Source organism: Homo sapiens, chromosome 15 (assembly GCF_000001405.40).
Source record: "Homo sapiens chromosome 15, GRCh38.p14 Primary Assembly".
NCBI lineage: Eukaryota > Metazoa > Chordata > Mammalia > Primates > Hominidae > Homo > Homo sapiens.
Window position 1 is genome coordinate 39797695 of NC_000015.10, and position 17005 is coordinate 39814699.

The following is a 17005-nucleotide window of genomic DNA, read 5'->3' on the forward strand; positions in this document are numbered from 1 at the left end:
ATCTGTCCTTAGATACTCTATGTACTCTACTCTGTTCTTACTTCGATACGGTCATTGAGTGCATTCATATTCAGATATGGCCTACACGTTAGTGGCCAAGGTGAACCTTCTTTTAACATCCTATTTTTTTCAACTGAGAATTGTCTAATTAAGAAATACTCTGGCTTACAGAGTTATTTTTTCTTCAGGGAATCTAATAGTCCCTTGGCATTATGTATTACCCCAAAGTATCATCATTATGAAAATTAATTACTGTTAGAATAACTGGGGAAAAGACCTACAGTTTTCTAAGAATATTCCGCATAAGCTGCCTAGCCACTTTATTTTTTTATGTAACGTATAAGTGCTAACACTGATATAGCTGTACTCTGTGCCAGGCATTGTGTTAAACAGATTATCTCATTTAATCCTAACAGGTGCTCTATGCCTCACTTGGACTCCCTGAAAACAGAGCTTGAGATGAGGGCTTTGTGCAGGTAGTATGTTTGGGAGGTGATCCTTGAGGCATGAATGAGGACTGCAGAAAGTGAGTCAGAGAAGGAGAAAGTAGAGTCAATATAAGGCTGCATTATTGAAGTGCCATGGTGGGCCACAGGGACTTAACTCTGTGTCAGTGACCTCTTGAGAACTGGACAGAGGCCTCCCACAATTGTCCAGCAGGACAGGAAGCAGGGGTATTTATCCAGTGGTTCCCATGCCCCACAGGCCAAGGATTATTCCCAGACACAGGGAGCTCTGCTTGCAGGGAAGCGAGTAGATGCCGCCAGCAACAGCCCACTGCAGACACAGCTAAAGTCATAGGTGAAATATGTGAGAAGGGGCAACAGAAGCTTCTGACACAATTATTATCCTCCCATTTTACAGAGAGAGAACTGAGGTACATGGAGGTTACTTCATCCTCCCAAGGTCACAAGGCTAGTCAGTGTGGGGCCAGGATTTAAACACAGGCAATCTGACCTCAAAGCTCATGGCCCTAACTGCTGTGCTCCTGACCTCCCGCAGGAGGGATGATGACGGCTGCACTCCAGGCTTCCCTTGTGTAGCTCCGCCTAGAGATTTGGGTGTCTATCGCCAATTCAATCTGGAACCCATCTTGGTGATATTTTTTCAACTGTTGCAGTTCCTCCTTAGGGAATTTATTTTCTTTTAGTTGCAACAACACAAGAAAATGCTACTGAAATGCCACATCTGCATTCATGAGAAAAAAAAAATGAATATCTTTCATCAGAGACCATGTAGGAAGAGACAGGTTCCAACAGTATATCACTTGAGGGAGAGAAAAGGGGGAGAAAATATAGCTCATAAAACTTTTCTTGAGTTCAGAAACTGCTTTTCAATTTTTTATTAAAATGTTATTCTTCAAAGAGTATAGAAATACACCTGGCAATGACCTGTTAGTAGTCAGCCATCTGCTTCAAACATATATAAGAAACATACCCAACCAGATTCTGCCTCATCAAAATTTATTAAGTTGTACATATACAGTATATTATCAGAACAACACCAAAGTGGCTACACTTGACAGATTCTCCTAAAGTGGACATAATTTTCCTAGAGATTATTATTCCCCTTGATAAAAGTTGTAATGATTGTGAAAGCTTTGAAAGACAAGCTTGAAGGGCCACAGCATTGACTATCAGGGCAAGGAGCTATAGATGCCATGCACGCAGGGCCCAGAAGGCAGCAGAGCCGCAGGAGGCTGTGGCAGCCCCGTTTCTGCTGTGAGCAAACAGTGCTATGAGGAGACCAACACAAAGAGGAAGGTGCTTCCTCTCCAGGGGTAGGGTCTTTGGGTTCACATTCAGAAACACAAGACACCACACCCAAGAGAAGAAAGGAAAACAAAACTCCCTACAGGGTCTGGGCTCCCTCCAAGAGACGGGGCCAGTGTGGCCAAAAGAGGGCACGAGTTGAGATGTGGAAGTTTGCTGGTGAGGACACCCACTTCCCTTCAAGCTTGCTCAAGGCACCAGACTAGCTCCTGTAAGTACCAAGAGCAAGAACACAACACTCTAGAGAAAAGGGCAGAGCTGGCGCTTGGTTTGTCCTCACTAACAGGGAAGTATTATCTGCGGTTCTAATTCAACCTGGTGAAATCCACCCCAGAGGGGTCCCAAATTGCTTGTGAGGCTGATGAGTTGAGGACACTGCCCTCCCTCTTCTACCCAGTCTGGCTCTACAACGACAGGGAAGGAGGAAGTGAAGAGCTCATCTGGGTCAGATGTTGCCTTGGCACTCTACAATGATTATTTCTCCCTGTTCTGTTCCTCCTCTGTGTCCAAAATTAAGAGAGAACCGCAGCTGTACAAACAGACTGAAAAGGAGACTGGCCACACCTGAGTTCCGGAGTCTTCCTCGGAAGGAAACCATCTTTGTCAGATTCTTGCCAACCTTTTGGGCAGAGTCACCTTTCCAAATCAGGCCTTTTCAGTTTGATGTTTCCAAAGGACCCAGCTTACACTAACTCTCCATTTTAAAAATACCTTTTAATTCCTAAAGTTTGCATAAGATGATTTTTTCAATATATTTGACTCATACTGGTTGTTACATAGCACCTTTCATGTGAGATCATAGGGAAGAAAAAAAAACTACAGCGCCATAGGCATCTCTCAGGCATCTCCCCCGTAAGCTTCTCTCTCATTTGTTGAGAAAACACAATTTAAGGTGAAAGACAGAGCGAAGACTTTTCAGTGTTTTCCAGCCAACACTGACCCTGACTGGAGGGTGCAGGTGTATCTCTCTGAGGCGTTGGTGATGCCAAGGGAAAATCAGAATTATCAAGGACAAAATATCTCCCTTACTCCCGGGCACATCTATCGCCATGTGTACCATAGGTGAGGAATCGTCATTCCTTACCTACATCCCAATGAAAGGGACGAAGGGTATCAGGAGAAACAGTGAGTCATATGACTGGGGCTTCCAGAGAAACAGTGTAAGACACCAAATCCCTACCTTCTCAACAGAAAATGTTTGACATGTTTAAGTTCATCAAACAGGCATTTTCTCTGGAGCCACCATGCTCCATCATGATCTTGGAATTCCCTTAGAGTGCTCCTGCTCCCTGCTCCTGTGAGCTCTGAAAGTCTTCTCTCTGTGTGTTCTCTGCAGAGCCCAGGGAAGTGAGGCATCCTCAGAAAGTGCACATGGGGTACCCACCTCAAGACCCATTCAAAACTGCCCAGCTCTTGTCCCCACAGAGAATAATGTGGACTTCACTAAGGACATGGATCACTGAGATGGATACATATACTCCCTCAATAAAGAGGACACTGGATTTTATGTAGATTTCCCTATCATTCAAAAGCATCTGGCCCATATTGGAGGAATCAACTCACACTGAGTTGCAAGGAGATCATACAATCACATGGCCACAGCATTCCCACACTCTGGTGGGAATATGGAAGCTCCCCGTTGCTTCCAAGAATTTACAATCCTTGCTAGGAATCCACCTTTGGAAAAATGCTCACTTTATTGTTTCTGCTCATCTTCCGCTCCACCCTGCCTACCTTGGGCACCTTTGTCTGGATCAGCTCTTCTGGGGTGTTGCCCAAGGGGGGAAGCAGCCGCTTCTTGCTGTTTCGGGTCTCTGAGAGCCACTGAGGAGGCAACTCAAAAGGCCCAAAGCCAAACTGCAGGGAATACTTATCAGGGAATGTTTCAGGTTCCACAGGGGCTGCCGGTGCCACCTGGGATACAGAGTCCACTGTGCTCAGGGGTGGGGCAGAGGGCGCAAACTGTGGCCCCTGCTCTCCCTCCAGGCAGGTGCTAAATATCTCCTTGGCCTGGAAGTCAGCTGAGCCAATGTACTTGGCCTCACTCTCTTCCTCATCCTCTGTGGGCTTAAAGATCTGCTGCTGCCCAATGTGGAACATCTCCAGGAGCTGGCTACCCGAGCGTATGCTGGGTTCCAGGCTGGCCTCAGCCATGCCACTCCCTGTACTGACCACATTACGGCGACTGTACCGGTGGTGTAGTTGCACCAGGGTCCCTATCAAGCACTTGCGGACAGATTTGTTCACAGTAAGAAAGAGAACAGGGTTTGCCAGCAGGGAGACTTTGGGCAGCCAAACAGCAGTGAGCAGCAAGAAGACGGAAGTGTCAGGGACATTGAGCACAGTCTGGTAGACGACCAGGGTGGCATAGGGCACGCTACACAAGATGAAGACCATCACCATGGAGAGCAGGGTGGCGTGCAGCTCGGCCTCCCGCTGGGAGGCATAGGGAATAGAGATGGTGTTCTGTGGGGTCCGGAGCGCTGCTATGATGACCTTCTTCTTCTGGCTGGCACTCAGGGCCCGTCGGATCAGTATCAAGAAGAGGAACACCACCACCACAGGCACAATGACCGTGGTGATGTTATACACCAGAACGTACACCAGGTGGCCCAAGGAGTTGCTCCAGACTTCCGTGCAGGTGGACGTGGCATAGATGTCAGCCACATTGGTTACTGCAAACACAGGGACACTGGCCACCACTGCATGGGCCCAGATGTACATCACCAGTTCACGGGACTTGGCATCAGATATTTTCCTCTCCAGTGGATAGAGGACTGAGTAGTACCTGCAAGATACACAAACAAAATTAATTCCACAGAAGATACTTTTTAAATTAGGGGAACCTAAATCACCAAAAGTAGATGAGAGGGAAGAAAGGTCAAGTTCTTCTATTCGGCCTAAGACAGAAAAGCACTGGGGGAATCCAGGAAGCCAGACCTAAGTTTTGAGGACTTTGCAAGTACAATAAGAAGCGTCACTAGACCAAAAAATAAAAACCTTTCCAAAGGAGCAGCAAACCTGTCCTCATGAGGCTTTACAGGAAAACAAGTAAATAATTTCAATTCATAGCTAGCTTTATAATTATTGCTACCAGGATGAAATCGCAAACAGTACCCTCCATATAAAAGATTTCTCCATCTGCTATAAAGATATCTACTTTTCAATTTGAGGGTAAAGGGTAATTGGTAAACAATTTTATATGGGCTAAAGAAGCTTTAGGGCAATTTTCAAAGCTACCAACAGAAATAAGTTTGTCTACACACATATCTAAAGCAGACTTATGCCACAGTCCAGATATCATTAACAATTAAAGTTGTTCAGGGCAGAAGAACCAGTATGAAGAATGGACTCCGACAAGGTCCTTCCACAAAAATCAATTCAGCTGACAAAAGTTATGCCTGCTCAACAGTCATTGCTCCCATGATAATCACTCAGTAACCCTAAGGGCAATTAATAGGTCTAAAATGCCTGCACAATTAGATTTTTGTTAAAATCAGATGAGACATTGTTTTTCCTTCCAATATTTAACTTGATCATTCTGTAAGCACCTAAACAGAATTCCAAAAGCATGCCGTTTCAATATCACCAGTGATTTGAGGGAACTGAATAACTCTTTGCACCCTAGAACCACATCTGTAGTAAAAGGGCTGCCACTAGCTCTCAGAGATATGGTCAGTTTCTTCACATTTGCTTGGCCATATCTGTGCAGTCAGTTAATGCTGGGGTTGACCTTACAACCTTAGTGACACCCATTCACTCATAGGGCAAGTAAGCACATAAGCTTTCAGATAACAAGTACTTCTTTTTTTTTTTTTTTTTTTTTTTTTTGAGATAGAGTCTCACTCTGTCGCCCAGGCTGGAGTATAGTGGCATGATCTAGGCTCACTGCAACCTTCGCCTTCTGGGTTCAAGCCATTCTCCTGCCTCAGTCTCTCGAGCAGCTGGGATTACAGGCATGCACTACCACGCCTGGCTAATTTTTGTATTTTTAGTAGAGACGGAGTTTCGCCATGTTGGCCCAGGCTGGTCTCGAACTCCTAACCTCAGCTGATCCACCCGCCTCGGCCTCCCAAAGTGGTTGGATTACAGACGTGAGCCACCGTGCCCAGCCTCCTGTAACAGGTACTTCTGAGCACCACCTATGCACCAGGTCCTGTGCCTGGCACTGGGTTATAAGAATGAAAAGACACAGGAATGTCTCTAAACCCAACGGGGACAAAGATACACACACTAATAATTACGAACAAGGAGATGACAGCTCTACTAGAGGCAGGCACAAAGGAGGTACAGGTAGCGCCTAAAGCCACCTGGGAAAATAGCAAGAGAGGGAGACACTGCAGTGGAGTCTGGCAGGGGGACCAGCTGAAGGGGAACATTCCAGGCTGAAAGAGATGGGATGCAAACACAATAGCGACCATGGACAATCAGGGAAGGAGGGAGCATGGTAAGATATGTTCTAGATTTCTTTCTGGGAGGAGGGAAAAAGAGAAAGAAGTGCATAAGTGATGCATGCTTTCACATTTTTTTTTCTCTGAATGTAGATAGTTTTGTAATGACAACTCAGTAAATATGTGATGGCCCCACCTGTACACATGAATAGATGCTTAGGAGTTCACTGGCTCTGACTGCCATTTGCTCACTGACATGTAACAAACCCAGGCTTCCATTAATTTCCAATCCCGTTACATGTTGGGAAACAGATTGCAACATAAGCACACAGGCTCACTATAAATAATGTTCTTAGTGTGTACACCTCTAAACAGTGATGCAAGAAGTGTAGATGACCTCCCGATGAACTTGCTGACTTAGTACCATGAAATGAATAGCTATGAAGGAAGTGAGAGAAAAGACTGTCTTCTCTTCTTCAGGTGTACATGTGGATGCTTGTAAGTAATTTGCATCTGTGAATAACAAAATAGGAATTCACCAGCCCTGTTTTCCTACTAAAAGGACTTGTTTTACTTTTTAAAATTATGATAAATTTACAATAGCTTTTCTGCTGGAAAGAAAATGAGAATTTCTTACTGTTTTCGTATTTCTTTGTTTAAGACCAAGGCCCCAGAAGTAACCCACAGGGATTATTGCATTGCTTCCAGGTATAACAGCAAACTGTTCAGAATAATGTATTCTCCTTGTTGAGTCTTATTTAAAAAAAAAAAAAAACTTTCAGGATTCATAGCAGCATTACTCACAATATCCAAAAAGTAGAAACAACCTAAATATCCACCAACTAGTAAATGGAGAAACAAATTTAGTATACTCCTAAAATTAAATGAATATATTATTTGGCCATGAAAAATGAATGAAGTACTGATACATTCTATAACATGAACTTTGAAAACATGCTGAGTGAAAGAAGCCAGACACAAAAGAACACACACTGTATGATTCCACCTACATGTAATGTCCAATAAAGCAAACATATAGAAAAAGAGAGTAGATTCATAGTTGTTTATGGTCTGGGGATGGGCACAAGGAGTGACTGTAAGTAAATGGGCACAAGTTTCTTTGTGAGGTAATAGAAATGTTTTAAAATTATATTGTGATGATGGCTGTACAATTCTATAAATATATTAAAATTCATTGACTTGTATACTTCCAATAGGTGAATTTTATAATATGTAAATTATATCTCAGTCCAGAATATCAAACTGAAGACTTAAGACTTTACCACAGCAGGTACTACCAGGGGCATTCAGAAGGACACTGAACACAAAATGGTTCGACATAAAATGCATTAGTGTACCCACCGGAAGTACTCTTGAGAAAGGACTCTGACTTCACTCTTATATTCCAGTCCTGTGCAATGGCACTTTCCAGATATTCAAAAAGCAATGGAAGAGACATGCAACGTCACCATAAAGCAGGCGTGGCAAATTGGCATCTCAGGGCACACATTCATCTTGCTGAAGGGATTCACATGACCCACATAATACTTTTTGAAAAAAAAAAATAATTGCCAACATTTTTAAATTATGGAATTCTAAATTTTTTTATTCCTCTTCTGAAAGAATAAAAAAGTCCTGCCCACCGAGTCTAGATTCCTACAAAGCAATTATTAGCTGCAACTGCTGAGCGGCTGATCCCCATGAACGAGAATGTGGACACACTCTCCACGTGCCACAATTGCAACCTGGTTATTGCTTGACTTGTCACCTGCCTTGTTTGGCTCCATGGATGGTGAGATTCCAGTCCCTTCTAAGGAGCTGGAGCTGCTCCCAGCAAGATCTGATGGTAACATGATTGCAGAAATATATCTAAGGAAGAATGTGCCATCAGAAGGGAAGCCTGAGAAAGAGAGGCAAATATTGGTGCAGCCCATCCTAACACAGGCCATAAATAATTCACTTAATTATTTCTACTGCTCTGGAATCTGAGGCTCAGAAAGTTTAAGCAGCTTTACCCAAAGCCACTCAGCTAGAAAGCTATGTAGGCAGGACTCAAAGCCAGGCTTCTATTCCAACATCCATTCTCTTAACCACAATGGCAATGACTTCTCCCAGTATGCTGGGGGCTTCGTGTGACTCTGTGTCCCTCCATGCAGACAGCACCAGGCAGCTGAAGAAATCAGGGTCCCTGGCCTGAGAGGCTGAAATGACTCTATAGATGGGTTCTACAATCAATACCCTCACAGGTCATTAAGGTATTATGTTTTGAATGGACAAAGAGTTCTAAATTTTCAAATTAATCTAAAATGTAGTTAAATTTTAACATAGGGCATAAAATCAGAATAGCCTGCACTTTCCCTTCAGCAACGTTTCCTCTATGTTAATCTTGAAATCAAAAGTACTCATGGACATAAAATACTTTTCAATTCTTGTTTGCTTACTTAATTCAATTCTCTAGAAAATATTATCTAAACTGTATTCATGAAGCACTAGCTAGAAAGGAGAAAGGCAGGAATTTGCTGATTATGAGATCTTTATGCAACTTTGATAAAATTGATAAAATTATGTAGAATGGCAGTAACTAAGATGTAAGGTTCACTTCCAAATGAACATCTTTTTAAAGAGGATAGGAAGAGAAAGCAATCACCACTGCAATATGAAGCCTTGGAAATAAATCCTCCAGAGGAATTCTGGTGTTACCTAGCCAGATCCAAGTGGACCATCTAATCGCTTGTTAAATAACCACTGAATCATTCCCTTGTTCTTTCAGAGATGTTCCATACTGCATCAAAAAGCCCTAATTGCAGAGTTATCAATCAGATGAAAAATCTACTGCAAATTGCAACACAAATACCACCAACTGCAACCAAGCTGAACTGACACCATGATCTAGCAGCTCTGCCCCAGCATCCTCACCATGGAACTCCCATCCCCAGGTCTTCTCTCAATGGTTTTATTTTCCATGGCTGTTGCTAAATCCACCTGTCCTTTGTGAGGCATCTGTTTTGCACATTTATTCCCTTTCTGTTGATCACAAGCTGACTAAAAAGCAGTATACGGAACATTGACTACTCATCATTTGCTTCATGATGCTAATTTTTTAATACAACTTAAAAAAAAAAGTTAGCTCCTGGCTACCTGATCTTACCTGTCCAAAGCAATAGCAGGGAAGCTGAGGATGGTCACAGAGCAGAATACTTTGTGCAAAAATTTGACGACCTTGCAGAAGAGCATGGTGTAGATCCACCAGCAACAGTGAGGACTGGTGCTGAGGATGATGTCGAAGGGCACACAGACCAGGCTGGCACAAATCCCCGAGCAGGCCAGGTTTTTAATGAACCTGTTGGTGACAGATTTGAACACGGTTGTGCGGCAAGTTGACCATAACACCATGAAGTTTCCTGGTCAGATATGAAAGAAAATAAAATAATTTAAATAAAAATTTAAGAACTAAAAAAAGGAAAAAAGTACAGGTTAAAAAATGTAAAAAACACATTTGAGAGTTGATTTCAAAAGATTTAATGTAAATCCTAATATTAAAATTTAACATATATGATACATTACAGTCAATTTATGTGAAATTATTAAATCACATATCAATAAGTCTAGAAAAAATTTTAGTGGTGAGTTTCTCTATTTAATTTTGGGCAAAATAGTATTATAACGATGGCTTAGTCTCATCAGTGTATAAACAATTTGCTAGTTATTACTTAATCCCAGGCAGTCTGCTCTTATCAAGTTTTCTAGTGACCTCCATGTTGCCAAACTCTGCAACAGAAATACAGTGCAAACCGCACATGTCATCTTAAATTTATGGTAGCCATGTTTTAAAAAAGTAAAGAGAAGCAGGTGAGATTTTAATAATATTTTTTATTCAACCCAACAGATCCCAAATATTTCAACATGTAATGATTACTTTAAAATTATTAATATTTTTCATTGTTGTTTTTGTACTAAGTCTTCAAAATGCAATGTGCATTTTATTTTACACTTACAGCACATCTCAGTTTGCACTAGTCACCTTTCAATAGCCACATGCAGCTAGTGGCCACCACACTGGACAGCACTGTTCTAGACTTCAGCAGCAATGATGCAACCAATCATCTCTCTTTGAGCATTGTCCTCTGTGGCTTCCACAGGCCTACAATCTCCTGGTTTTCCTTCCACCCTCCCGCTTCCGCCAGTCCTTGGCTGCTGCAAGTCTACTCTTACCAGGTTTTACAGAAGAGCATGGTACAGCTCCGCCCCCTCTATCCTCTCTCAATAGCCTCTCCCTACGTTAGACTACCCATTCTGGTAATTTTCCATCAAAATGCTGATGACTCCCAAATTCATGTCCTAAAGTAGGGTTTTCCCCTCAACTCCAGAATCCTTTTTCCAGATAAACTTCTGATACCCCTCTCAATCCCCACCATGTTCCTCAAGGGTTTACCTACTCCGATGCCTGCTGCCTAATCTCATACCTTCCTTCCCCTGGCTTGCTGGGCTCCAGCCACTCTAGTCTTTGTGCCATTCCTGAAACACATCAGGGCTAATCCTGCCTCAGTGCCTTTGTATACATTTTCTTATACTGCTTGGGATGTTGTTCATATGTCTGATTACTTTAAATCCCAGTCTTAGTTTAAATGCTGCCTTGTCAAAAAAGCCTTCTCTAACCATTATTTTATTTTAAACACTAACTGCTCCTGCCTCCATTATGCTCCATTATCATATCCCATTGCATCCTTCATAGTTCTCATCACAATTATTCATTTGTTGACTTGTTATCTCTCCATTTCATGAAGAAAAACTGTATCAATCTTGTTCACTGTTGTAACTCCATGCCTAGCTCAGTATCTGGCACAGAGTAGGCATTTGATAAATATTTGTTGAAGAAATGAATTTGTAAAATAAGCAGACACACGGTAATCAAAAGTCCCTGTGGTAAGAGAACCCCTTTTGTAGTATGTATGTCATGTAAAGATATTCTAAGTCAGCAAGCAGTTCCCAAATCTCACCATACGTCGGAATGACTGTACCAGATATACTGAATCACAGTGCATAAGTATGAAACTGGGAACCTGCAACTGTAACAGGCACGTTGGTACAGTTGGCCCCCAGACTACAGTTTCTTTTAAACCACTTTTAGACAGAGTCCACAGCCCCATGCTCAGACTCTCACAGGGAACCAGTCCTCAGGTGTGAAGGGCAGCCTGCTGAGGGGTTTTATTAGCATTTACATGCTCATGAATGAGGAAAGTTGTTTTCATGCTGTTATTTCTTTAAAACCCGAGACTGCTATAATCACATTTTATTTCCATCTATTTATATGCCTCTAGACAGCATGCAGAGCCTAATCTCTTCTGCTATTAAGAACCTGAGGCTAAATAGTCCTATGTTCTTTCCATTCTCTAAACCTCTGCTCTCGCTCTCTCCTCATTTAAAACTGACTCATTTGGTTCTAAGAACCTGAATTGGATGAACATGTCAGGATACAAGCACCCATACCCAATACCCATTTGGTTACACATTTAAAAATAAATGTGTGTGTGTGTGTGTGCGTGTGCATGTACATGTGCATGCCCACACAGCAACAAAGCAAGATAACTATATGATTATTTAACCTCATTAGCACTTCAGATTCTCCTTCGTTTTACAAGGCATACCAAGTAAGGATAACTCATTATATATTTAAGTAACAAAATTTTCAACCTCTATATACTTTTTATTTTAGAGGTCACATTCTAAGTCACCTAATCTACCCTAGAAATGATCTAAGCTCTGGAACCATTCCAATTCCCTATGTATTCCCATTATACTTTCTAATGTTTAATTCCATGACAATACTCAACGCCATTGCTGTGGACACAGCAACACAATTAGGACATACAGCCCATACAACCAAAAAGGAAATAAGAGGTAGAGAGTGGTGACATTGGTACAAGTCTGCCCTCCCTGGGACTGCTGTAACTATGTCATTCCTCAAGAAAAATAACTAACGGATACTAGGCTTAAGACCTGAGTGATGGCCGGGCGCGGTGGCTCATGCCTGTAATCCCAGCACTTTGGGAGGCTGAGGCGGGCGGATCACGAGGTCAGGAGATCGAGACCATCCTGGCTAACATGGTGAAACCCCGTCTCTACTAAATATACAAAAAATTAGCCCAGCGTGGTTGCGGGCGCCTATAGTACCAGCTGCTCGGGAGGCTGAGGCAGGAGAACGGCGTGAACCCAGGAGGCGGAGCTTGCAGTGAGCTGAGATCGTGCCACTCCAGCCTGGGTGACAGAGTGAGACTCCGTCTCAAAAAAAAAAAAAAAAGACCTGAGTGATGAAATAATCTGTACAACAAACCCCCATGGCACATGTTTACCTATGGAACAGACCTGCACATCCTGCACATGTGGCCCTGAACTTAAATAAAAGTTAAAAAAAATACAAATTAAGACTTCTCGTTCTGTAATATACTTAATAGTCAAAGATAGTGGATGTGGAAGACAAAGCCATGTGAATTAACCACAACTCTGACAGACAGTGCTTGATTGATAATGAAGAACCTTTTTCCAACTAAATTTTGCCTCTGCAAAATTTTAGCTTTGGTTGTCCTTTTAAACCGGTTTATTGGCTTTGCATCTTTGAGAGCAACAATTCTGGCCTGTTAAAGAGACTAGTAACTAAAATGAAAAAGATATTCCAAAAGAGCATTGGGAAATCGTGTGCATCTGAGAATCCTTCTGGGAAAACAGACACATTACCTCTTTGAAAACTACCAGCTTCCCCAGAGACTTAAAGCAGTAAAATATCCATGGCCATGCTTGTACAGAAAGATAACATGCCACCCAGAACATTCTAAAAACTAGAACTTGAGAAAAGCTAATGCAAAGTGGAGGTGATATAAAATTACAAGGAAAAGCCTATGACAGACTGTGCCAAGAGGGAGGCCAAAGTGGATCGACAAGGGTCAGAAAGCCTACAAAGGAACTTTTACACTTAGTATACACCTTGTGATGCAAGAGGAAAGTTTAAACAAGTAACAGTAACCCCATAATAGAAGAAACAACCAGCCAACCACTACTTTGTGTTGCTGGATTTTTAAATGCCTTATTTGCTTCAGTTTGCAGTCCAAAATGTAACCAAGAAGAGTCTCTTGGGTTTAAAGAATTGTGTGAAGGGCATATTAGGAAAGGCTTTTAACTAATATGCCAGGTAACAACAGGAATGACTTTTAACCTAACTATGCATTTATATATAAAGTAGCTTTCTTATAGACAGCATATAGTTGGCTCTTGCTTTTTTTAACTGATCTGACAATCTCCATCTTTTAATTGGTATATTTAGAATATTTGTGTTTTTAATTTTAATTTTAATTTTTTTTTTAGAGACAGGATCTCACTATATTGCCCAGGCTGCTCTCAAGCTCCTGGGTGCAAGTAATCTTCCTAGCTCAGTCTTCCAAGTGGCCGAGACTACAGATGCACGCCACTCTACCCAGCTAGAACATTTACATTTAATATAATTATTGATATGGTTGTATTAAAATCTGCCATCCTGCCAGTTGTTTCCTATTGATCCCATCTGTTCTTTTTTCCTTTTTCTCTTTCTGATTTAGGATTATAGGTTGAGTATCCCTTATCTAAAATGCATGGAATCAGAAGTGTTTCAAATTTCAAACTTTTTCAGATTTTGGAATATTTGCATCATATTTACCAGTTGAGCACCTCAAATCCAAAAATCCAAAATCCAAAATGCTTCAATGAGCATTTCATTTGAGCATCATGTTGGTGCTCAAAAAGTTCCAGATTCGGGGTGTGGTGGCTCACACCTGTAATCCCAGCACTTTGGGAGGCCAAGGCGGGCAGATCACGAGGTCAGGAGATCAAGACCATCCTGGCGAACATGGTGAAACCCCGTCTCTACTAAAAATACAAAAAATTAGCCGGGCGTAGTAGTGGGTGCCTGTAGTCCCAGCTACTCAGCAGGCTGAGGCAGGAGAATGGCGTGAACCTGGGAGGCGGAGCTTGCAGTGAGCCGAGATTGCGCCATTGCACTCCAGCCTGGGTGACAGAGCGAGACTCCGTCTCAAAAAAAAAAAAAAAAATCAGATTTTGGAGCATTTCAGTTTTGTATTTTCAGATTTAGGATGCTCACAGTGTGACTGAATATTTTTTATAATTCCATTTTATCTCCACTGTTGGCTGATTATTTATACTTCTTTTACTTTTTTTCGTGGTTGCCTATATTTACAACATACATCATGAATTATAATCTACATTCAAATACTATTATACTGCTTCACATGTAATATAAGAATCTTATAACAGTATTGTAATGGTTAATACTAAATGTCAACTGGACTGGATTGAAGGATGCAAAGTGTTGGTTTTGGGTGTGCCTGTGAGGGTGTTGCCAACAGAGATTAACATTTGAGTCAGTGGACTGGGAAAGGCAGACCCACCTTCAATCTAGGTGGCCACAATCTAATCAGCTGCCAGCACGGCAAGAATAAAAGCAGCAGAAAAACGTGGAAAGACTAGACTGGCTAAGGCTAAGTCTTCTGGCCTCCATCTTTCTCCCGTGCTGGATGCTTCCTGCCCTTAAATATCAGAATCCACGTTCTTCAGCTTTTGGACTCTTGGACTTACACCAGTGATCTGCCAGGGGCTTTTGGACCTTTGGCTACACACTGAAGGCTGCACTATTGGCTTCCCTACTTTTGAGGTTTTGGGACTTGAACTGGCTTCCTGGCTCCTCAGCTTGCAGACGGCCTACTGTGGGACTTCACTTTGTGATCGTGTGAGTCAATTCTTCTAATAAACTCCCCTTCATATATACATCTATCCTATTAGTTCTGTCCCACTAGAGAACCCTGACTAATACAAGTATATTCCTAATTCCTCTCTTCTAAGCTTTATTTTTTTTTTTTTTGAGACAGGGTCTTGCTCTGTTGCCCAGTCTGGAGTGCAGTGGCATGATCCCAGCTGACTGCAACCTCCGCTCCCCGCAGGCTCAAGTGCTCCTCCTGCCTCAGCCTCCCAAGTAGCTGGGACTACTGGTGCATACTACCATGCTTGGCTAATTTTTGTAGAGACAGGGTCTCACTATGTTGCCCAGGCTTGTCTCGAACTCCTGGGCTTAAGTGATCTGCCTGCCTCAGCCTCCCAAAATGCTTGAATTACAGGCATGAGCCACCATGCCTGGGCCTCTTCTCAGCTTTTTAAACTGATCTGACAATCTCTGTCTTTTAATTGGTATATTTAGAATATTTACATTTTTGTTGTCATACATTTTACTTTTATATAAACTGTAATTCAATATATATTGCTACAATTTCTTCTTTCAGTAGTCATTTAACGTTTAGAGTAATTAAAAATAAGAAAAAATCTTTTATAGTTACCTCCATTTCAATCATTTCTGGAGATCTTTATTTCTTTGTGTAGACACAAGTTTCTGTCTGGTATCACATTCTTTCCACCTAAGGAATGTCCCTGAGCATTTCTTGCAGTACAGGTCTGCTAGTAATGAATTCCCTCTTTTTGGTTGTCTGAAAAATGTCTTTCTTTTTTCTTCATTTTTGAAAGAGTATTTTTGCTGAGGATAATACTCTGAGTTGAGAGGGTTTCTTCACCCAGCAGTTGAAAGATATCACTCCATTGTCTTCTGGATTACACAATTTCTGATAGTAAGTTTACTGACTCTTACCTTTGCTTCTCTGCGTATAATGTGTCTTTTCTTTTCTCTACCTTCCTTCAAGATTTTCTTTCTTTGGTTTATAGCAGTTTAAATATGATGTGTCTAGGTAGTTAAATATGATGTGTCTAGGGGTGTGTGTGTGTACGCACACACCTTGGTTAGGACTACGGTTTGATGTCTTTTATCATCATTTTAATAGCTACATAAAGGCAACAGTGCCTTCATGGTCATGCCCTAATTCATTTTATCTATTTTATATTGATGGGTTTTATAAACTGTTTCCAATATTTCATTATTATACAATGCTGACATCAACATCCTTATATATATATATAATCTTTGGGAATTGAACTGAATATTTACTGAGGATAAATTACTAGAAGCAGAATTTCTGGGTTAAACAGCTTGCACATTTTTAATATATATTACCAAAGGACTCTCCACAAATGGCATGTGAGAAAGTTGGTGTCCCCAAATGCTCACTAAAAGTTCTGCAGCCTCACTAAAATGTTTGCAACCATGGCATGTGAGAAAGTTGGTTTCCCCAAGTGCTAAAAGTTCTGCAGCCTCACTAAAATGTTTGCAACTGTGCATGTTACCTCTATCCTAGGATTTATGTCTTTCTATTTCTAGAAAATTTTCATCCATTGCCTCTTTGAATTTTATCCTGCCTCTTTCTCTTCATTCTCTTTTTCTGGATTTCTTATTAGACTTATGTCAGACCTCATTCTATTGATTATATCTCTTAACCACTCATTCTTATTTTCCATCAATTCACCCTCTTCTGAAAACTGGGTGATATTTCTCAGGTTTACCTTCAATTTTTAATCCATTCTCAATTCATCTGGAAGTAATCATATCATCCCCTCTTTTATTTAAAATTTGTATTTGCGTCTACTTCAAATGGCCTATTCTTTATTCCTAGTATTCAGTTAGTTTACTATGGCTTCCATTCCTTCGTTAATCTGTAATCATTTTTTAAATGCTTATGGTTTCTTTCAGATTATTCTGTTGTATCTACTTCTAGAAGAATTAATTTTGCCACCTGTTGGGTCAGCTTGCTCTCCTTTCTAGTTTTTCTCAGATGGTTCCTAATATTCAATTATGAGCTCATAGTCTGTGGGGGTTGTTTTTCTGTGGTAGGTTATATTGCCTGGCTATAGAAGTGTTCCAAG

The 17005-nt window shown here is 41.4% G+C and overlaps 1 protein-coding gene across 8 annotated transcripts in view; it reads right to left on the reverse strand.

Annotated features, from left to right (window-relative positions):
* Window positions 1-1313: 1313 nt before the first annotated feature.
* GPR176 (G protein-coupled receptor 176) overlaps window positions 1314-17005 on the reverse strand; it is a 121259-nt gene continuing 105567 nt past the window's right edge. For 4 of the 8 annotated variants that reach the window (NM_007223.3, XM_017021873.3, XM_011521167.4 and 1 more), the window contains 2 exons: window positions 9312-9564; window positions 1314-4560 (listed from right to left, as the gene is read on the reverse strand). In NM_007223.3, the coding sequence (NP_009154.1) occupies window positions 3438-4560; window positions 9312-9564 (1376 nt within the window). In that variant the 3' untranslated portion in view covers window positions 1314-3437. Of the gene's footprint in view, window positions 4561-6800; window positions 6917-7525; window positions 7711-9311; window positions 9565-9873; window positions 9932-17005 lie in introns of those variants that run through there. The other 4 variants (XM_024449835.2, NM_001271854.2, XM_017021874.3 and 1 more) reach the window with 4 other exon arrangements.